General features: G+C 39.1%; 1 protein-coding gene across 14 annotated transcripts in view; it reads left to right on the top strand.

The window, feature by feature from the left end:
- Positions 1 to 23,474, top strand: part of ANKFN1 (ankyrin repeat and fibronectin type III domain containing 1) — a 470,940-nt gene that overhangs the window by 323,328 nt on the left and 124,138 nt on the right. For all 14 annotated transcript variants that reach the window (XM_047435502.1, XM_017024263.2, XM_011524430.3 and 11 more), the window contains 2 exons: positions 3,242 to 3,436; positions 5,197 to 5,310. In XM_047435502.1, coding sequence (XP_047291458.1) covers positions 3,242 to 3,436; positions 5,197 to 5,310 — 309 coding nt within the window. The remainder of the gene's footprint in view (positions 1 to 3,241; positions 3,437 to 5,196; positions 5,311 to 23,474) is intronic.

Consider the following 23,474-nt stretch of genomic DNA (forward strand, 5'->3'; position numbering starts at 1 on the left):
TAAATATGATTTCTCAATTGTAAAAAAAAAATGCCCCCATTCCAGGGTGGCAAAAATAGAAATTGGATTCCCAGAACAATTTTCAAGCTTTCAAAAAGGCTAACTATCACACCATTACTCAAGATAAACTACACAGTCTAATATAATTGTCATATTTACTTGCTTCTGCTTAAAATATATTAACCCAGTTTGTTAGGTTGATTATCTCATTCTGAACAGATGCTTCTATTGATGGTTATATAGGTCATTAATAATAGGGAGAAACATGATCACTTTATAAGTCAGCTGGTTTAGTAGACAAAAAAAATCTTTCAAAAGAGGGTGTTTTATTAAGCTATTAAAAAAATCCACTGGAAAAAATAAATAAAAGTTTGCTTGCCGAAATGGTTGGAAACCAGTGGCTCAGTCAGTGCTTCTCTGACTTGTCCATGCAATTACTTTTAACAACAGATGCAAATGATAGTCTCAAGGACACCTGTGTTCTTAACCTGGAAAAAAGGGATAGAGTTTTACAAAGTTTCCCTTTTTTCAAAATCTTCAATTTTTGAAAACACTTTCCATTCTTCTCCATAATAGACCTATTTAATTTCTAAATAATATGCTTAATCAAAATCTGCATGTAAAATTTGATGCTCCAAGAAGACACATTCATTCATATTGTGTTTTTAGAGGTGATCATTGCACCCCCTACTTCACCCACCGTCACCACTATATTACATTAGAGTTTAGATATCCCAGTTTGAGGTGCGCTGGGATGTAAATAATCTTGCAGAGCTCACCCAGCTATAAAATTCTGTCTTTAGTCTCTGAAGAGGCAAAATGCATTATCTTGAAGAGGTGGAATTCCTTTATCATTATAACTCAAATTGCATCTAAAGCCTAGAAGGAAAGGGAAAATGCAGAAACAAAATGTGTGGTTCTAGGGAAAGCAGAAAAATTGTCAGAAGGAGCCAAGCATAGTTCAAGAGAAGCTGTCCATCTGAAATGCCACCTGGAATTCACACCAGTAATAACTGTTGTGGATATAAAAATTAATAGTGGGGATTTCATAGTATTAGAAAAATTTATTTTTATAAATCATGTGTCTGTCACCCAAGTGTTGACGCATGCATGCAATTCAAACATCAGGCATACAATAAAAAGCTCACTGGATAACTTAACAAGGACAATTCCCCCATTTTCTCTATAATTTGGAGTGGAAGAAGGAGGGGGGAGTGGGTAGAGAGTGCAGTTACTGGGTCAATTAATCAACCTGAAAACTGTGACACAAACTCTGACGCCTAACCTATGTCTAAAAATACACAAATGTATACGAATTTGTTTTAAACTGTCAATGCCTATATTTAGGACCTTCCCAGCAAGGCTATAATGAGACTGTGTTTGAGGGCTTCAGTCATAGCAGACTCTACCATTAATCTGAAGTTAGTTAAATTAACAGCATTTAGTACTGACTTGTCAATCTCACTGCTCCAGGAAATTGCACCTTGAGGCTACTAATATTGCCAATTTTTCCACTGGAGTGTGCGCCCGCGTGTGTGTATGTGTTTTTTTTTTCTCCAGAACCTCTGCGTTCATACCCCATCATTGCTTCCCTACGTCCACAGCACTTATATTATCATTTATTCTGGCCTCCTTTAGCCTTCCCCAGGGATTCTGCATAGTGTAGCTGCTCAGTGAAAGAGTTTTTTAGCTTTATATTTATTTGTTTATTTTTCTGTCATGGCTCATGACTGAGGCTTTTAAAAAAAAGTGTGACAGTATTTAGAGTACATGATTGACTGCTACAGCAACATTCATTAACCATGACAAATCTGCAGCAAAACACAGTCCTGAGTGTTCTAAACAGCAACTTTAAAAAGAAAGAAGAAAGAAAGAAAAAGAAAAAAGACTCAACTAATTTTTCATTGACCTCGTCTGTAAATAAATTTAGACCGATGGTGCACAGAGGCAATAATAAATTAGTATTCATTTCCTGTAATTAATGCAAACATGCCCATGAACACAGAGAATATGAATATATAACCACCTAATTTCCATTTCAAAATACACCTAACAAATTTTCACTTGAGTTATCTTCACAATATTTTCCCCTTTAATTAGAAGAATGAAATAGTTGGATTTCTTTCCCACCCACCAGGGAGAAATATTGTTTTGGTCACAGGGAGTGTCAAACACATTTCAGCAACAGATCTGTAGGACTTTAGTCTGGTTTACTTGACTGTTCTGTGATCCCCTACCATATTCCCATGCTGAGGCTCTTTTATCACTTAACCAGGTGGGGCTCTGAAGTGACCAAGTGACCATCGTGGCAGGCCCTCATATGCATAACAGCCATGAGGAGATCATAAGAGGCAGCCTCACTGCTCAGCACAAGAAAGGGAGACATACATTCCTTCCCATTCATTGACATGAACGCAAGAGCAGGATGGCTAAACAATCTGATGTAAATCAAATGAAGACTATCACATATTGGGTAAAATAGAAATAGCAAGCTCTACAACCTCTCTCAGCAAGAGGGGCTTATATAACTTATCCTCTTGAGCATAGGTATCTCTGGAGATCATTCCTACCATTACACCACAATCAAAGATCAATTTCTGATCACATTCAAGTCAGCCAGTCATCAGAACTCACTAGCTCAACTGTGGCAGCAGTAGCGGAACTCTTTGTAAGCAATAAATACATTGATTAACAATAATAAAATTATGCCTCTAAGATGTACGTACAAAAATGTCTATAAGCTGGGAAGAATGTGTTAAAGGCAGAAAATTTGAATCAGGTTCTACCAAAAGCAAAACAAAACTTCATCAGAATGCAACTTGCCTCATGGATAACATTTCCTAGGGTCTTCCTGGCCATACGGAGTTTTGCCCCTACATGTTTGTCCTTCTAGAGGTCATGGCAACAAATGTGTACTCTCTGGATGAGAAGTGGTCCTCCTGGGTACTTGATGGTGGAATTCTAATTAGCTAAGTTAAGCAGCTAAGTGAGGTATGTGTTACAGCAGGGCTGGAGAGCAATGGGAATATATTAATGTGATGAATTTACCACTTAATCTGATTGTAAGTGTCACTAATTAGACCTTATCATAGTAAGATACTTGATAACAAACACAGATCCCACTTTTCCCAGGCATTTTTTTTTTTTTTTTCAAATCATAGTAAACTCTGGGATATATCCTTCCAATGAAGCAGCATTTCCCCAGAAAGAAAGAGAAGTAATCCCATTTCTTTCCCTTTAGTTGTCAGCCTGGAAAGCCGAGCAATGCACCTCAACACACTGGTCCAGGAAGCCCAGGAGAGGGTGAGTGAACTGTCTGCCCAGGTGGAGAATGAAGGATTCACTCTGGACAACACAGAGAAAGAGAAGCAGCTGAAAGCTTGGGAGTGGAGGTATCGGCTCTACAGACGCATGAAAACAGGCTTTGAGCATGCCAGTGAGTATAAGCAGAAAATGTCTACATTTCACTAGACTGAGCCTCAGTTTGAGACAGCCAGGTCTTCTTTTACAGATTTTTTTTTTCAGCTCTACAGAGTCATGGATGGCCGTTGTCAGCCTGTATGGAGCAAGGGCTCTGAGAGGCTGTCAAAGGGTCTTTTATCTTGCTTGAGTTTCTGGCTCCTGATGGGTGCTCTGACCACAGCCATGAGGCTTCATGCCTCTGGCCTCTCTCCACCATGTCACACTCATCTAGCACTTTCCATCCGCTACGCCCTAATGCCTAATGATCTGGATGGTCTGATGCCCTAGATGGCTATATTTTGGGATAGGGAGGTGGAAAAATATTTGTTTGCCTGTTTGTCCAGTTTCTGCTCCAAGCTCAAGTTTAAGTTGTTTTCAACGCTCTACTGCATTTTTTTATATAGAGCTATAAACTGAACTTCAGTTAACACAGGCAACCGAAAAGAACAATCAACTCAAGAATTACGCTTTTGTCTGCACTTTCATTTTCTTTACCAATTCTTTTTGTTAGTTTAAGAAAAGCCTTCTTTTTGGATAATACTCATTAGCACTGGAAAGTAATGCTGAGTGTAGCTCCTGATACAAAAACAAAATATAAAATTCAAACACTTGTGAAATATTAAACTCTCATTCTAGAAGGAGATCGTAACTAAACAACAACAAAAAAATTAGGCTGGAAATTTTAAATATAAGGGAAAGTTCGTTAGTTTGAAAGGTCTCTGCCTCTGCTGCAGGAAACTTAGTTGTGATGTAGACAAAGACCAAAGACAGTGATGATGTTTTCTTAAGTACACTAAATACCAAATCTAGGCCTAATCCTTTCTCTTGGAGCAAATAACTTAGCAACATTAATGAAAGTTTGCTTTCAACATCAACACTCTCCAGCAAGGCTGGTGCATGGGTTTGTTTAAAGAGATTCAGCGCTTGCTTTAATAAATGCATTTGCTATTATGCCTCATTTAGGACAGATTAACACTAGAAACAGACATATTTTCAGATTTGATGTCAATTTTTGTAATTTGCTAAATTATAAAACACCTTCTACGTGTTAAGCAATACTAAAAGCCATCAGGAGTCCTTTAAAACCTGAGGTTAGTGGACATGACATCCACCCATAAATTTTTTTCTCGGAAAATACTGCTCATTTGTAATAGGAGAAAGCCTGAGAGCAAGGTGAGTTAGAATTCTATCAATACTGGAAAGAGCCCAAAAGTAGGCAACTGAAGCCAGGGGCTTTCATCCTGACTGTTTGTCTTCACTGTGTTCTTGAACAAGGAATTTGGCCACTTGGGGCTGCGGTTTCCTCATACCAAAAGTGAGTGTGCTATTTCTTGCCCTTTCTACCAAGGAGGGCTGCAAAAAGCCTCCAGTGAAACGATGTACTTTATAAAACGTAAGGGTGTCCACTGACAATATAGGATCCTGCTATCACTTCCTGCCTTTCTCTTCACTGATCCAGCCCAATCTCCTATCGTGTTTGCAGGATACTTTAGGAAGGCTTAACTGGTATTATTTACCTTTTCAGAAAATGTTCTAATGCTCAAATAAGACCCCAATGGCAACAAATAAAAGCCATTGAGACGTCTAATGAAAATGTTCAAAAGCGAAAGCTATTAGGCTCCACAAACAAATGTTTCCATAGTATTCATTTCAGGGTATCCTTTGAAGAGGGAGGAACGTTGTTTGAAAAGGATTTGCTATGTTAAGATCCTTGTGTTTTTCCTTCTGTCCCAGGAGCCCCTGAGATGCCAACCAATGTCTGTCTCATGGTAACCAGCAGCACATCACTCACTGTCAGCTTCCAAGAGCCTCTTAGCGTCAATGCAGCTGTAGTAACCAGGTATAAAGGTACTGGACCCAAGACATGTTTTCATCACTCCTTCTTAAAAAAGCATCTGCTGTTTGAGAATCAATAGTGCATTTTGTGTGTTTGTTTTTCCTACTGATAGGAATGTTTTTATCCCATTGACTTTTGAAGTTGAAATATTTCCATAGGCACTCATGTAAAGGAACAATCAAGTGACTGAGAATGTCACAGAAAGGAAGAACCACAAGACCAGGCTGTCATTTCAAGTCCCTCAATTACTGTTTCATTCATCTTTGCAGAGGACTTGCTCTATGCATAGCACAGGGCTGGGGACAGGCCTGAGTAGGAAACACTGAAGAATCAGACTTGATCCAAGGATCTGAGGGGTTGTGATATGGAACATACTAAGTAGGGGTTAAAAAAAACAATAACTAAAGCTAGGTAACAGGGTTGGGGTTTTTCAAAAATGCAGATAAAGTATATTGGAGGTCAGGAAAGAGCAAGGGGAAGATAAAATGGTGGGATCAGTAAGGGTTCCCTAGGGTGGAGGTGGCATTCAGGCCTGGCTATGAAGGATAAGTAGGCTTTGGCCTGGAAGATATTGGGGGGAAAGTAAATTCCAAATGGAAAGGACAGTCAACACAGGTATAAAACCAAGAACATACCAGGACAGGTAGAGCAAACTAAGGGAACAAGTAGAGGGAATAGAAAATAGCATGGCTCCGAAAAAGCATAGGGTCGTGAGAAGGTACAGTAAGATGTTAAGATTAAAGAATGAAACTATGATCAACAGAAAAGGACAGAATGAGGCTCGAAATTAAGGCTAGGGAGTTTAGACTTTATGTGATGAATTCAGCAGAGCCATTGAATAAGGTAGGGACAGGATCAGAGGTAGACTTTTGAAAGATTGGAGTGGTGATACTGTGTATGATTTATTGAGAGAAATAGAGATTTAGAAGAAGGAAATGAATTATGAACCTATTCAAGAGGGAGGTCATGATAGCCTGACCTGGCTACAATGGCAGCATTGGGAAAAGAAAGGGAAAGCCCAAAGGAAAAATGTACTGCAGAGGTATTGTGATGACAACAGCTAATGCTTACGTAGCACCGACTATGCACCAGGCACCATTTAAAGCCGTTTAAAGTTTTAACTCTATTTAATCCTCACAATGATCTCATGAGACAGGTATTGTTATGATTCCAACTTTGCAGATGGAAAAACAGAGGCAATGAGAAGTTAAGGAATTTGCCTAAATGCTTACAACAGAGACAGAATCATCACATTATGCTGACTCTTGAATACGAGGAACAAAAAAGGAAAGCTATTTTCTGGATTCACAAGGACATATGGAATTACACTGAACAGCCCTAAAAGCTGATAAAGCTCTCCACACATATTCCAAGGTTCCAGGCTACAGTGTGGACTTTCTTTGCATTCAGGTCACTATGGCTCTCTCTGCCCACAAACATGTTCAAGTAGTGCACATGCCTTCCTTTCTCATTCTCAGGCCTGTCCCTCTGGGGAACTTCATATGTCTCTGCAAACTTTACTCTGCCCACACCCTGTAGCTTTCTTGGGTACTTAGAATTTTCCAGATAACGCCACTGTGTTTGTAATACCTTAGATAAGACAGCATTGAATTGATTATCCCTGGATTTTCTGTATCAGTCTAAGAGAAAGCAGCCTTAGGGTACTAAGGACAGCAGATAAATGAAACCACCCAGGATGGCCCCCCACAGCCATCCTTTGAAACAACTCTGATACCTTTTCTTGGTTGTCTCATCTGCCAAGACTGAAATTCAGAGCAAGCATTTCTGGGCAATGTTAGATATGGACGTTTTCTTTCTTTCTGCCTCTCTCCAGCTCAGGATTTCGATGAAGAGTTTCATCAGTGCTGCCCACCTTGACATTTCCTTCTTACTTTGATGAGTGAGCTATCAGGAACCAACCAGTCCAGACTGTCAGCAATTTAATACTTGCCCACAATGCCGGCAAATTCTATCCGCATTCACATATTAACACTTCTCATCTCAGGAGACTTGCATTTGGGTGAGGTTGAAATGAAAGGTCACAAGTGGGTTCTGTTAGAGACTGGAGGGGATTAATTAAGCATTATAAATAGAATTGTCTGTTGCATTATGGAGTAGGTTTCCTTGTGTTAATTTATAAGGTCATAAATTGAGTCCTTAACCTGACCGTTCTCAAGGGTTATTTAAAACAGCTGGCAGCCTACTGTATCCGCAGGAACAGCAGTGCAGTTTTTAATTCAGGGGTTGAAGTAATTATTTAATTATGAAAATATTAGTGTAATTATTTTGTTTGCAAAAAAGAAAGAAAGAAAAGAAAAAGAAGAAACAATTGAGAAATCTACAGAATGAAATGGCAATTATCTAATTGGTTAGAGGGAAAGTTTACCCCTGCAGCATTTAGGGTTTGGCAAAAACATCTCAGACTATTCTCCAGAATTTCTGGGTTCAGCAAAACCTCAAGCCTATTTTGACAACTCAATGTTTTCCTCCTTCATGCTTAAGCTAGGGTGTATTTCAAAGGAAATCTAAATCCTTCTGTTTCTCATTTGTTTACACTCAACCCATCAACATATTGTTTTATAAGAGTTTGTTGATATGTTGACATCTTTTTAAGAGCATCACTTTTTAAGTTTTCTTCACACCGTGGGGGCACGCACCAGGCCAACTGCCATCACAACTCGGAGATTAAAGGCATCAATTTCCACATCAAACCTAGGAAACAGTTTTCAGTGAGACCCACATGATTTTTTCTGAATTTCCCCTGAATGCAGTAAAACGGGGCTAGGAGATCTACTCTCTGTTTCTAGGTGTTTTCTCTCTGGATTCAAAGGAGGCTTGCATCTTTTAGTCTCATCTCACCCATTTTTATGGCTGACAGAGGAAAACCTACAGTTATTTCAGATGCTTCGATGCTTTGGACAATTGCCAGAAGTTTGTACCACATTTTCTCCTCACTGCCTTGGGTCACCTGCCTGAACCTCTCATTTGCAGATTATGTCATTTCTCTGCAGGCCTGAGACAGAAAACATTTGCAAAAGTGATTTTACTGCTCCTTGCAGGGTTGGGGGATGGTTAGGAAGGCATCCTGAAAGAGGTGCAGTACAAAACCTCTTTTCCATCCACAAGATGAAACATTTTCGAGTTTGTGTTTTTTTTCTTAATTGGGCCTCGAAGTGGCCACACCTTGGGGTTTGCTAATTACAACATGCTGCAGTAGTTGCTGCATTGCCTGAGTGCAGTACCCGGGTTCTGGGTGGTATCCTTGCCCGTGTCTTTTCCTACTTCATTCCCTAACAGATTAGAAACCACCACCCTAGTTCCTCCCTACAAAGATTTGTAATAGCAAATTGTTTAACTGCTCGTCATTTGATGACATTTTTTAAAATTAAAAAGCATCTCTCCTTGCAGAAACTGACAGGGCCTTTCAGGAGCTCATAGTGTATCTGCTTCTGCAGTGACCAGGCCCATATCTCTGCCGACCATCACCTTCAGTTTCTTTCTCAGGAGAAGCAGCCAAAAAATTCCAGGGCGGTGTATGAGGGGACATTTCAGCTTCTAAGAAGGAGAGTCTACCATTGGGACATTAAAACCCTCAGGGTCGATCATTTATAATAATAATAGTGTGAACTTGATCATAACCTGATGACTTGGACTATCTTTTCTACAAGAATGGAGAAAACCCTGACATCACAGAGCACAGGTTCCCATTGCTCTGTGATTTATATTCTTCTTACCCTTTCTGTTTTTTCCTCCTACACCTTGTAGTTGGGTGGATATTTATCTATCAAGAAAAATGCATTCCATTAAAGAATATAATTATTTATATGTTTAATTAATTGAAGGACTAATCTGGTCATAGGTATGAGGTAGCTACCTTCATTACTAGGTTGAAGTGATACAATTCCACAAAGCAAAAGTATTTATAACTTTCTTTAGCCTGTTTGGGGAAAGAGAGGTGGGGAGGAGGCCAAAGATTTGCAGATGAGAGCAACGAGGAGGAGCAGGAAATGTTACGTCCAGAGGACATGAAACTTAGTGGATTAACATTTTTTGTGTTAGGGTGAAAATATGAAAGTGGGGTTAGTGATTAAAATGTGTGATGGGGAAAAATAACAAGTCTGCTGGGGGTGAGAGGATGAAAAATGAAAGGCAACAGTGCTCAAGACTCACTTCTAAGCTACTAAGGCTTCTACATCCTTACTCATCCTACTTTCATTCACTAGTTGCTGAGTTGTCAGGATCCGGCCAATTTATTCTCCAACCATCTTGTAAACCACCTTAAAACCTTTCTCCAATAATGTATATTGTCAAGAATAGCTTTTCTGACATTTAAATTTTGTTAAATTTTCATCATTTAACAAAATGTTAACCCTCAAACTATATTGTGTAGGAATATATACATATAAAAGGTCAGGCCGGGCGCGGTGGTTCATGCCTATAATCCCAGCACTTTGGGAGGCCAAGGTGGATGGATCATGAGGTGAGGAGATCGAGACCATCCTGGCTAACACAGTGAAACCCCGTCTCTACTAAAAAATACAAAAGATTGGCTGGGCATGGTGGCGGGCGCCTGTAGTCCCAGCTACTCAGGAGGCTGAGGCAGGAGAATGGCTTGAACCTGGGAGGCGGAGCTTGCAGTGAGCTGAGATCGTGCCACTGCACTCCAGCCTGGGTGACAGAGTGAGACTCCATCTCAAGAAAAAAAAAAAAAAAGGTCAAAGTCCTTCACCCTTCTTCCAGTCGTATTCATACCTCAAACTCTATAGTGAGTTCGATGTATGTCCTTACAAATTCTTTTTTGATATGTATATGCACATGGATATATACAAAATTTTGTTTATGTGCTCTAATACAAATATTATGTTGTTTTTCTAATCCTACAACTGGATGTTTTTCAACTCAGTGATATTTTTACAGTTCAACAGTATAAATTACAAATCTATGTAAATGTGTTTGGCTCCTCTTACAGTTGTATAGTATTCCTATTCCACAGAAAGAGGTATCATCATTCTCCTATTGATGGATGTTGGTTGTTTTAATATTTTCTGTTATATAATGTTACAATTCTTATATGTATCTCTCTTTTATCTAGAGAATATTTTTCTATTATGGTTAACTAGAAGCAGAAGGGACTGTTTGTGGATTCACACACTGTCCCATTGATCTGTCTATACCTGTGTTACTATCATAATACCATAATTTTACAGCATATTTTAACATCTGGTAAGGCAAGTTCCTCCCCATTAAAATCTTTTTCAAAATGTCTTTGTTATTCACGCGCATTGTCTCTTACAAATGAATTTTAGAATTGGCCTGTCAAGTTCACTTTTAAAAATCTTATTTGTTGGATTTACATCATATTCCTAAATTAATTTGGGGAGAATCTCATCCATGAGCTGTCTTCCTAATCAGGCTGAATTGTGTGTATTCAGAACAGTCTAATTATTTTCTTTACATAGATATTCTATACTTCCTATTGAGTTTCATGCTAGCTATATTTTACAGTTTTTACGGCTGTTATGAATGAACTCTCTTTTCAGGACATTTAGTTGCGGGACAGTAGAAGAGTATTGCTAATTAAGAAAAACTTTAGAAACAGAGCCAAGATGGCCGAATAGGAACAGCTCCAGTCTACAGCTCCCAGTGTGAGCAATGCAGAAGACGGGTGATTTCTGCATTTCCATCTGAGGTACCGTGTTCATCTCACTAGGGAGTGCCAGACAGTGGGCGCAGGACAGTGGGTGCAGTGCACCGTGCACGAGCCAAAGCAGGATGAGGCATTGCCTCACTCGGGAAGCACAAGGAGTCAGGGAGTTCCCCTTCCTAGTCAAAGAAAGGGGTGACAGACGGCACCTGGAAAATCGGGTCACTTCCACCCTAATACTGTGCTTTTCCGACAGGCTTAAAAAACAGCGCACCAGGAGATTATATCCCACACATGGCTCAGAGGGTCCTACGCCCACGGAGTCTCGCTGATTGCTAGCACAGCAGTCTGAGATCAAACTGCAAGGCAGCAGCGAGGCCGGGGGAGGGGCGCCCGCCATTGCCCAGGCTTGCTTAGGTAAACAAAGCAGCCGGGAAGTTCGAACTGGGTGGAGCCCACCACAGCTCAAGGAGGCCTGCCTGCCTCTGTAGGCTCCACCTCTAGGGGTAGGGCACAGACAAACAAAAAGACAGCAGTAACCTCTGCAGACTTAAATGTCCCTGTCTGACAGCTTTGAAGAGAGCAGTGGTTCTCCCAGCATGCAGCTGGAGATCTGAGAACGGGCAGACTGCCTCCTCAAGTGGGTCCCTGACCCCTGACCTCCAAGCAGCCTAACTGGGAGGCACCCCCCAGTAGCGGCAGACTGACACCTCAAACGGCCGGGTACTCCTCTGAGACAAAACTTCCAGAGGAACGATCAGACAGCAGCATTCGCAGTTCACAAAAATCTGCTGTTCTGCAGCCACCGCTGCTGATACCCAGGCAGACAGGGTCTGGAGTGGACCTCTAGCAAACTCCAACAGACCTGCAGCTGAGGGTCCTGTCTGTTAGAAGGAAAACTAACAAACACAAAGACATCCACACCAAAAACCCATCTGTACATCACCATCATCAAAGACCAAAAGTCGATAAAACCACAAAAATGGGGAAAAAACAGAGCAGAATAACTGGAAACTCTAAAAAGCAGAGTGCCTCTCCTCCTCCAAAGAACGCAGTTCCTCACCAGCAACGGAACAAAGCTGGACAGAGAATGACTTTGATGAGTTGAGAGAAGAAGGCATCAGACGATCAAACTACTCCGAGCTACAGGAGGCAATTCAAACCAAAGGCAAACAAGTTGAAAACTTTGAAAAAAATTTAGATGAATGTATAACTAGAATAACCAATACAGGGAATTGCTTAAAGGAGCTGATGGAGCTGAAAGCCAAGGCTCGAGAACTACGTGAAGAATGCAGAAGCCTCAGGAGCCGATGCAATCAACTGGAAGAAAGGGTATCAGTGATAGAAGATGAAATGAATGAAATGAAGCGAGAAGGGAAGTTTAGAGAAAAAAGAATAAAAAGAAACGAACAAAGCCTCCAAGAAATATGGGACTATGTGAAAAGACCAAATCTACGTCTGATTGGTGTACCTGAATGTGACGGGGAGAATGGAACCAAGTTGGAAAACACTCTGCAGGATATTATCCAGGAGAACTTCCCCAATCTAGCAAGGCAGGCCAACATTCAGATTCAGGAAATACAGAGAACGCCACAAAGATACTCCTCGAGAAGAGCAACTCCAAGACACATAATTGTCAGATTCACCAAAGTTGAAATGAAGGAAAAAATGTTAAGGGCAGCCAAAGAGAAAGGTCGGGTTACCCACAAAGGGAAGCCCATCAGACTAACAGCGGATCTCTCGTTACCCACAAAAGGAAGCCCATCAGACTAACAGCGGATCTCTCGGCAGAAACTCTACAAGCCAGAAGAGAATGGGGGCCAATATTCAACATTCTTAAAGAAAAGAATTTTCAAGCCAGAATTTCATATCCAGCCAAACTAAGCTTCATAAGTGAAGGAGAAATAAAATACTTACAGACAAGCAAATGCTGAGAGATTTTGTCACCACCAGGTCTGCCCTAAAAGAGCTCCTGAAGGAAGCACTAAACATGGAAAGGAACAACCGGTACCAGCCACTACAAAATCATGCCAAATTGTAAAGACCATCGAGGCTAGGAAGAAACTGCATCAACTAACGAGCAAAATCACCAGCTAACATCATAATGACAGGATCAAATTCACACATAACAATATTAACTTTAAATGTAAATGGACTAAATCCTCCAATTAAAAGACACAGACTGGCAAATGGATAAAGAGTCAAGACCCATCAGTGTGCTGTATTCATAAAACCCATCTCACATGCAGAGACACACATAGGCTCAAAATAAAAGGATGGAGGAAGATCTACCAAGCAAATGGAAAACAAAAAAAGGCAGGTGTTGCAATCCTAGTCTCTGATAAAACTGACTTTAAACCAACAAAGATCAAAAGAGACAAAGAAGGCCATTACATAATGGTAAAGGGATCAACTCAACAAGAAGAGCTAACTCTCCTAAATATATATGCACCCAATACAGGAGCACCCAGATTCATAAAGCAAGTCCTGAGTGACCTACAAAGAGACTTAGACTCCCACACAATAATAATGGGAGACTTTAACACCCCACTGTCAACATTAGAAAGATCAATGAGACAGGAAGTTAACAAGGATACCCAGGAATTGAACTCAGCTCTGCACCAAGCAGACCTAATAGACATCTACAGAACTCTCCACCCCAAATCAACAGAATATACATTTTCTTCAGCACCACACCACACCTATTCCAAAATTGACCACATAGTTGGAAGTAAAGCCCTCATCAGCAAATGTAAAAGAATAGAAATTATAACAAACTGTCTCTCAGACCACAGTGCAATCAAACTAGAACTCAGGATTAAGAAACTCACTCAAAACCAGACAACTACATGGAAACCGAACAACCTGCTCCTGAATGACTACTGGGTACATAACGAAATGAAGGCAGAAATAAAGATGTTCTTTGAAACCAACGAGAACAAAGATGCAACATAATAGAATCTCTGGGACACATTCAAAGCAGTGTGTAGAGGGAAATTTATAGCACTAAATGCCCCCAAGAGAAAGCAGGAAAGATCCAAAATTGACACGCTAATATCACAATTAAAAGAACTAGAAAAGCAAGAGCAAACACATTCAAAAGCTAGCAGAAGGCAAGAAATAACTAAAATCAGAGCAGAACTGAAGGAATTAGAGACACAAAAAACCCTTCAAAAAATTAATGAATCCAGGAGCTGGTTTTTTGAAAGGATCAACAAAATTGATAGACCACTAGCAAGACTAATAAAGAAGAGAAGAGAGAAGAATCAAATAGATGCAATAAAAAATGATAAAGGGGATATCACCACCGATCCCACAGAAATACAAACTACCATCAGAGAATACTACAAACACCTCTATGCAAATAAACTAGAAAATCCAGAAGAAATGGATAAATTCCTGGACACATACACTCTCCCAAGACTAAACCAGGAAGAAGTTGAATCTCTAAATAGACCAATAACAGGCTCTGAAATTGTGGCAATAATCAATAACTTACCAACCAAAGAGTCCAGGACCAGATGGATTCACAGCCAAATTCTACCAGAGGTACAAGGAGGAACTGGTACCATTACTTCTCAAACTATTCCAATCAATAGAAAAAGAGGGAATCCTCTCTAAGTCATTTTATGAGGCCAGCATCATCCTGATACCAAAGCCGGGCAGAGACACAACCAAAAAAGAGAATTTTAGACCAATATCCTTGATGAACATTGATGCAAAAATCCTCAATAAAATACTGGCAAACCAAATCCAGCAGCACATCAAAAAGCTTATCCACCATGATCAAGTGGGCTTCATCCCTGGGATGCAAGGCTGGCTCAATATACGCAAATCAATAAATGTAATCCAGCATGTAAACAGAACCAAAGACGAAAACCACGTGATTATCTCAATAGATGCAGAACAGGCCTTTGATAAAATTCAACAACCCTTCATGCTAAAAACTCTCAATAAATTAGGTATTGATGGGACGTATCTCAAAATAATAAGAGCTATCTATGACAAACCCACAGCCAATATCATACTGAATGGGCAAAAACTGGAAGCATTCCCTTTGAAAACTGGCACAAGACAGGGATGCCCTCTCACCACTCCTATTCAACATAGTGTTGGAAGTTCTGGCCAGGGCAATTAGGCAGGAGAAGGAAATAAAGGGTATTCAATTAGGAAAAGAGGAAATCAAATTGTCCCTGTTTGCAGATGACATGACTGCATATCTAGAAAACCCCATTGTCTCAGCCCAAAATCTCAGGGCTGCAACTTCAGCAAAGTCTCAGGATACAAAATCAATGTACAAAAATCACAAGCATTCTTATACACCAATATAGATAAACAGAGAGCCAAATCATGAGTGAACTCCCATTCACAATTGCTTCAAAGAGAATAAAATACCTAGGAATCCAACTTACAAGGGACGTGAAGGACCTCTTCAAGGAGAACTACAAACCACTGCTCAATGAAATAAAAGAGGATACAAAGAAATGGAAGAACATTCCATGCTTATGGGTAGGAAGAATCAATATTGTGAAAATGGCCATACTGCCCAAGGTAATTTATAGATTCAATGCCATCCCCATCAAGCTACCAATGACTTTCTTCACAGAATTGGAAAAAACTACTTTAAAGTTCATGTGGAACCAAAAAAGAGCCCGCATCGCCAAGTCAATCCTAAGCCAAAAGAACAAAGCTGGAGGCATCACGCTACCTGACTTCAAACTATACTACAAGGCTACAGTAACCAAAACAGCATGGTACTGGTACCAAAACAGAGATATAGATCAATGGAACAGAACAGAGCCCTCAGAAATAATGCCACATATCTACAACTATCTGATCTTTGACAAACCTGAGAAAAACAAGCAATGGGGAAAGGATTCCCTATTTAATAAACACTGCTGGGAAAACTGGCTAGCCATATGTAGAAAGCTGAAACTGGATCCCTTCCTTACACCTTATATAAAAATTAATTCAAGATGGATTAAAGACTTAAATGTTAGACCTAAAACCATAAAAACCCTAGAAGAAAGCCTAGGCATTACCATTCAGGACATAGGCATGGGCAAGGACTTCATGTCTAAAACACCAACAGCAATGGCAACAAAAGTCAAAATTGACAAATGGGATCTAATTAAACTAAAGAGCTTCTGCACAGCAAAAGAAATTACCATCAGAGTGAACAAGCAACCTACAAAATGGGAGAAAATTTTCACAACCTACTCATCTGACAATGGGCTAATATCCAGAATCTACAATGAACTCAAACAAATTTACAAGAAAAAAACGAACAACCCCATCAAAAAGTGTGCGAAGGACATGAACAGACACTTCTCAAAAGAAGACATTTATGTAGCCAAAAAACACATGAAAAAATGCTCACCATCACTGGCCATCAGAGAAATGCAAATCAAAACCACAATGAGATACCATCTCACACCAGTTAGAATGGCAATCATTAAAAAGTCAGGAAACAACAGATGCTGGAGAGGATGTGGAGAAACAGGAACACTTTTACACTGTTGGTGGGACTGTAAACTAGTTCAACCATTGTGGAAGTCAGTGTGGCGATTCCTCAGGGATCTAGAACTAGAAATGCCATTTGACCCAGCCATCCCATTACTGGGTATATACCCAAAGGACTATAAATCATGCTGCTATAAAGACACATGCACGCGTATGTTTATTGCGGCACTATTCACAATAGCAAAGACTTGGAAGCAACCCAAATGTCCAACAATGATAGACTGGATTAAGAAAATGTGGCACATATACACCATGGAATACTATGCAGCCATAAAAAATGATGAGTTCATGTCCTTTGTAGGGACATGGATGAAACTGGAAATCATCATTCTCAGTAAACTATCGCAAGGACAAAAAACCAAACACCATATGTTCTCACTCATAGGTGGGAATTGAACAATGAGAACACATGGACGCAGGAAGGGGAACATCACACTCTGGGGACTGTTGTGGGGTGGGGGGAGCGGGGAGGGATAGCATCAGGAGATATACGTAATGCTAAATGACAAGTTAATGGGTGCAGCACACCAGCATGGCACATGTATACATATGTAACTAACCTGCACATTGTGCACATGTACCCTAAAACTTAAAGTATAATAATAATAAAATAAAATAAAAAAGAAAAAAAAGAAAAACTTTAATTGGCTGCTTTACTAAAATCTCTTAGTAATAGCTCTTTATCAATAGATTATCTTGCATCTCATGAGTTTTTTTTTTTTTTTTTTTGCATATTGTCTTTAAGGATGATGCATTTGTCTCTTTCTAATTTTTTTTTCTTTTTCTGGTCTCACTTGTTCGACAAGAATCAATGTGAATTCAGTTCCTACTATACTGTGAATAGTAGCTGTGAGAGTTTCTATCTGTCTCTCTTATCGTCTTTTATCAAAATTCATCTGATATTTTACCATTAAGTATGACATCTACTGTAGGTTTCTGGTGGATATCCTTTATCGGATTTAAGAAGTCTTATTTTCTTATCAGCTTAGTAAGAAGTGTTTTTGTTTTATTTTGTTTAAGAAAGATATGTTAAATTGTATCATGATTTTACTATATTTTTCCTAGAAAATCATCATTTTCATCTGGATTACGATTACTGATACAGTGTTGTTGAACATAATGTTTAAATCATGGTGATTATAGCCCCTTTAATATTTCAAAAGTTTATGCTTTTGTGCCTTTTCTTTTATAATTGTTGAACATTTGACTATTTTGTTGGTTTGTTTGAAGAGATTTTTGATTCATAAATTCTATTTTATGCTTATTTTCTATTTTATTAATTTTGGGTTTAATGTTACCAATTCCTGCTACTTTCTATGGGCTTACTTTATTGTTTCCTTACTAGTTTTGCTTTTCTTTTATTTGAAACTTAATTTACTTGTTCCTTTATTTTTCTTGTTTTCTAATCCATGGGTTTAAGGCTGTAAATGTTCCCCTGAGTACTGTTTTGTCCATATCCAAAAAGTTTAAAATGTGGTGTTGTAACTATCACTTATTTGTAAACAATTTGTAATTTGTTTCACTTCCATGTTAATCCAAGAGTTTTTCAAGGAATCACTTTAAATTTCCAAGTGGCCAGATTTTATCTGGTGTATTTTTATCGTTAATGTCTAATTTTATTATGCACATATCATATGTTAAAAATCCAAAAATATGGACTACAGTCCTTTTGGGAATTTAACATTCTTACTTGTGGCTAACTACTGAATCAGTTGTATATGTGCCATATGTGATATTTGAAAAGAGTGTGTAAACTCCATTAGGTTATAAAGTATGAATGTGTGTGTGTGTTGTTTAAGTACCCTGGTTTTTTTCCTTAAAATATTCGTCCCTTTGGTCTTTGATCTCTGAAAAACCTGCTTGATTTGTCTTGTTTCATGCAGTTTGACTTGATTTCTATTTCAGTTGTAGTTCACATTTCTTCTTCTATGTTTCCATTGCCTGCTGTCTTTTCTCTACCTGTTGTTCTCCTTTCTAGGACATTTGCAATGCATTTGTCTCTTGTAAAGGGTATATAGTTAACTTATATACTCAATCTAAGAGTCTGTCTTTTTTTGTATACACATTTAATTGTTTTGTCCAAAGTGATATAGGGGACTTTTTTTTAATTTGTACTGAAAAGCTTATAATGAAAAATAGGCAGTGGTTTTCTTCATTCTTCCTACTCTCTTCTTCTCATAGTCAGCCACTTTTAACATTTTTTAGTTCTAGCAGTTACCTCTCTAATTAATAAGCTTCTATGGCTATTTCTTTCTTTTTTTCTTTTTCTTTCTTTCTTTTTTTTTTGAGATGGAGTCTCACTCTGTCACCCAGGCTGGAGTTCGGTGGCATGATCTTGGCTCACTGCATCACTGCAGCCTCTACCTCCTGGGTTCAAGTGATTCTCATGCCTCAGCCTCCCGAGTAGCTGAGACTATAGGTGCACACTACCACTGCCCAGCTAATGAGACGGGGTTTCACCATGTTGGCCAGGCTGGTCTCGAACTTCTGACCTCTAGTGATCCACCCACCTTGGCCTCCCAAAGTGCTAGGATTACAGGCATGAGTCACTGCACCCAGTCAGCTATTTCTTGATTTATCAATATCTGTGCAATTATAGCTACAAAAGAAAAGCATTTAACTCTTTTAATACTGCACTCCTCTGCACTCCCTTATTCTCTCAACATAGCTATATTTCTATTTTTAATTGCCAACTATGTTTATACATTATGAGTGTGCACATTTTTGATATTGCAAAATAGTGTACTATGATTATATTTCCTTTTCCATGTATTTTCTTCATATCTCTAATTACCTTTTTTCTCTTCTACTTTATTTACAATCAACATATTCTCATTTCCTTTCAAATGTTCCTTTCAGAGTATTACTTATTTCCCCAAGAGTAGTATCTATTTTCCCTCTCAGCGTATTCTCTACTCCTGTTCCACTACATAGTAATAACTCACTAGGGTTGCCATTAGGGAAATGCAAATTAAAACTGCAATGAACTATCATTACATGCCTATCACAGTAACAAAGCGTTTTAATATAGTGACAACAGCAAATGCTGGCAAGGATTTGGAGAAACTAGGTTGCTCTTACATTGTTTGTGGGAATGTAAAATGATACAGCCACTCTGGAAAACTGTTTGGCAATTTCAAAAAAAAAAAAAAAAACTAAACATGCAACTACCATACATCCTACCACTTGGCATTTATCCCAGAAAAATGAAAGTTTACTTTTATAGAGAAACTTGTACACAAATGTTTATAGCAACTTTATACCTAATAGCCAAATTGGAAATAATCCAGATGTCCTTAAATTGGTGAATGGTTAAATTGTGGTATATCCATACCATGGAATACTACTCAGCAACTAAAAAACCAAACTATTTATACATACAACAATCTGGATGAATCTTCTGAGAATTCTACTAAGTAAAAAAGGCAATCCCAGAAGTCTAAATGCTGCACAATTCCATTTATGTAACACTTTTAAAATGATAATAGAAGTAGGGAACAGATTAGCGGTTGCCAAGAGGAGAAGAGGGTGTGTATAGCTCCCTTTCTTGTTTTCTAGCTAATGGATGCATTTTAAAATACCTTGTTTACCTTTTAAAGGATTTAGAGAGAAAAGGGATAGGTAGGCATGTGTGTTGGTTTGGCCTCTTGATTCAAGTTCTAAGTCACTTCTCCTTTTTATTCAGCTGTATGCTCAGTAAACATGACCTCAGACTAACATTAGCTTAAGCCAACACTTGTGGAAGTGTATCTGGTATTTCAAAAAATTGTGTAAGTTAGCTAGAGACAAACACAAAACTAAGGTTTTATGTCAGTTGGTGAAGGATTATTCCTGACACTGATTTCTTCTTCTTCCTGTAATATTTGAAAAGTTATAGACCCATGGAGTAATAAGAAGTTTTTGGAATATGTGAGTTTTTTCCTGAGATATGAGTTCCTTGAAGGCAGAAACTGTGTCTTTTTCATTTCTATTCCACACCTGCTACATTACACAAGCATTGGCCTTCTTTTTGTTCTTGAACCAGTTCCCCCACCACAGGACCTTTGTACACGATGGTCCCTGTGCTGAGTACATTGCCTCTCCCACTCACTTGCCCACTGATTGTTCAGGTGTCTTTTAAAAGACATTTCTTCAGAGAAGCATTTTCTTTTTTTTTTATTTTTTATTTTTTAATTTTACTTTAAGTTCTGGAGTACATGTGTAGAACATGCAGGTTTGTTACATAGGTATACGTGTGCCATGGTGGTTTGCTGCACCTATCAGCCCATCATCTAGGTTTTAAGCCCCACATGCATTACGTATTTGTCCTATTGCTCTCCCTCCCCTTGCCCCCCACCCCTTGACAGACCCCAATGTGTGATGTTTCCCTCCCTGTGTCCATGTGTTCTAATTGTTCAACTCCAACTTATGAGTGAGAACATGGGGTGTTTGGTTTTCTGTTCCTGTGATAGTTTGCTGAGAATGATGGCATCCAGGTTCACCCATGTCCCTGAAAAGGACATGATCTCATTCTTTTTTATGGCTGCATAGTATTCCATGGTGTATATGTGCCACATTTTCTTTATCCATTCTATCATTGATGGGCATTTGGGTTGGTTCCAAGTCTTTGCTATTTTAATAGTGCTATAGTAAACATACTTGTGCATGTGTCTTTATAGTAGAATGATTTATAATCTTTTGGGTATATACCCAGTAATGGGATTGCTGGGTCAAATAGTATTTATGGTTCTAGATCCTTGAGGAATTGCCACACTGTCTTCCACAATGGTAGAACTAGTTTACAGTCCCACCAATAGTGTAAAAGTGTTCCTGTTTCTCCACATCCTCACCAGCATCTGTTGTTTCCTGACTTTTTAATAATTGCCATTCTAACTGGCATGAGATGGTATCTCATTGTGGTTTTGATTTGCATTTCTCTAATGACCAACGATGATGAGCTTTTTTTCATATGTTCGTTGGCCACATAAATGTCTTCAGAGAAGCATTTTCTAAGTATTTACTCTAGACCAGGCCTATCATAAGTGCTATTATGCCCTCCACCTTTTCTTCGAAGTAATATTTACAGCTGCAAGCATCTATTTATTTATATAGTATATTTTTAAGTTTAAACAGATTTCTTTATTATAGAACTTCTTAGAGTCTTTCACATCTAATATATATAATAAAATATTTCCCGAATTTAATTTGACCATCACTGCATGTTTCATGGGGAAAATGTTCCGTGGACACTTCAGAAGATTTAGACCAGGAATTCTCAAACCAAGCTGCACATTGGAATCACTGGGGATCCCTTCTAAGACCAATCAAATCTGAGTCTTTGCAGGGTGAAGGCCCAAGAATACATATATATATATATATATATATATATATATATATATGTATGTGTGTGTGTGTGTGTACATATATATATGTATATGTACACACACACACAGTCTCGCTCTGTGTGTGTACATATATATATATATGTATTCTTGAAGGCCCAAGAATACATATATATATGTGTGTGTGTGTGTGTGTGTGTGTGTGTGTGTGTGTGTGTGTACATATATATATGTGCACACACACAGTCTCACTGGGTGACAGTCTCGCTCTGTCACCCAGGCTGGAGTGCAGTGGCGCTATCTCAGCTCACTGCAAGCTCTGCCCCTCCAGGTTTAAGCAATTCTCTGCCTCAGCCTCTGGAGTAGCTGGGATTACAGGCATGTGCCACCATGCCCTGCTAATTTTTTGTATTTTTAGTACAGACAGGGTTTCACCGTCTTGGCCAGGCTGGTCTTGAACTCCTGACCTCGTGATCCACCCACCTCGGCCTCCCAAAGTGCTGGGATTACAGGCGTGAGCCACCGCGCCTGACCAAGAATACATAATTTTTAAGAGCTACTAAGTGATGTTAATGTTCATGTAGGCTGAGAACATAAGGTCAAGTTTTTAATATCTATCCCTCCCACCAGGCTGTAAGTCTCATGTAAGCCATAATGTTTTGTTCATTCCTGTATTCCTAGCATAGGACATACCCATATATAAAATAGGTACTCAGTTAATTAATGTATTTACTCATTAACAATTTAGTGACAGCTATTACGTGTCAGACTGTATTCTAGGCAGCGGGGATGTAACCATAAACAAACAGACAAAAATCCCCATCTCTGTGGAGCTTACATTTTATGGAGTAATAATAATACATACTAAGTGGTTCCTACATGCCAAGCCATGTTCTTATGACTTTATATACATGAATTGACTTAATTCTCACAGCGTATCTTTAGGAGGCATTATTGCCTCTAATTCATGGTTGAGAAAACTGAGATACAAGGAGGTTAAGAAATTTGTGCAAGGTCCCATAATAAGTAGGGGCTGAGCAGGGAGTTGAACCCACGCATTGTTACGCAAGGGCCCATCAGTAACCACCAGCAAATCCTGGGCAATAAAATGTCTCTGAATTAACAAACAAATGCATGAATTGGTCTCTGAATCACCTAAAGCCTAAGGAGGTATCCTGTTCACGATGGCAAGCCAGTCATTTAGCCCCATCTCCCATCTTCTGCTCTACCCCCACAGGTCCCCTTAGAGGGCATCTCCAGCCTTGGAGTGAATAGCGCTACACACAAGGGATGCACTTCCCAGTAGGGCAGATTTTTCCATTGTTGAATAGGAGTTTCTAACCTTTCTGGCTTGTATCATTCATTTTAAAATCAGGTGGGCTGAGTCACAGATAAAATAAACACACCGTGGGCACAGCAAACACACTACAGAAACTCCTAATCTTCTCCAAATATTTCACACGATATGGAAAAATTTCAGAACCAACCAAAAATAAATAAACAACTGTTGAGATGATTTACAGTCTGGCCAATAAGCAGGCTCAGGGTCTATCTGGCTTTCTCAATCTCAGGACCATCTGCCAATCCTTTTGCTCCAGATTGTGGAATCAGGAACAGCATCAGAAGTTAGAGGAACCATATTTCAGAAAACTTTCTCTAATATTTACCATTTAACTATTATATGCCT

This window comes from Homo sapiens, chromosome 17 (genome assembly GCF_000001405.40).
Source record: "Homo sapiens chromosome 17, GRCh38.p14 Primary Assembly".
NCBI lineage: Eukaryota > Metazoa > Chordata > Mammalia > Primates > Hominidae > Homo > Homo sapiens.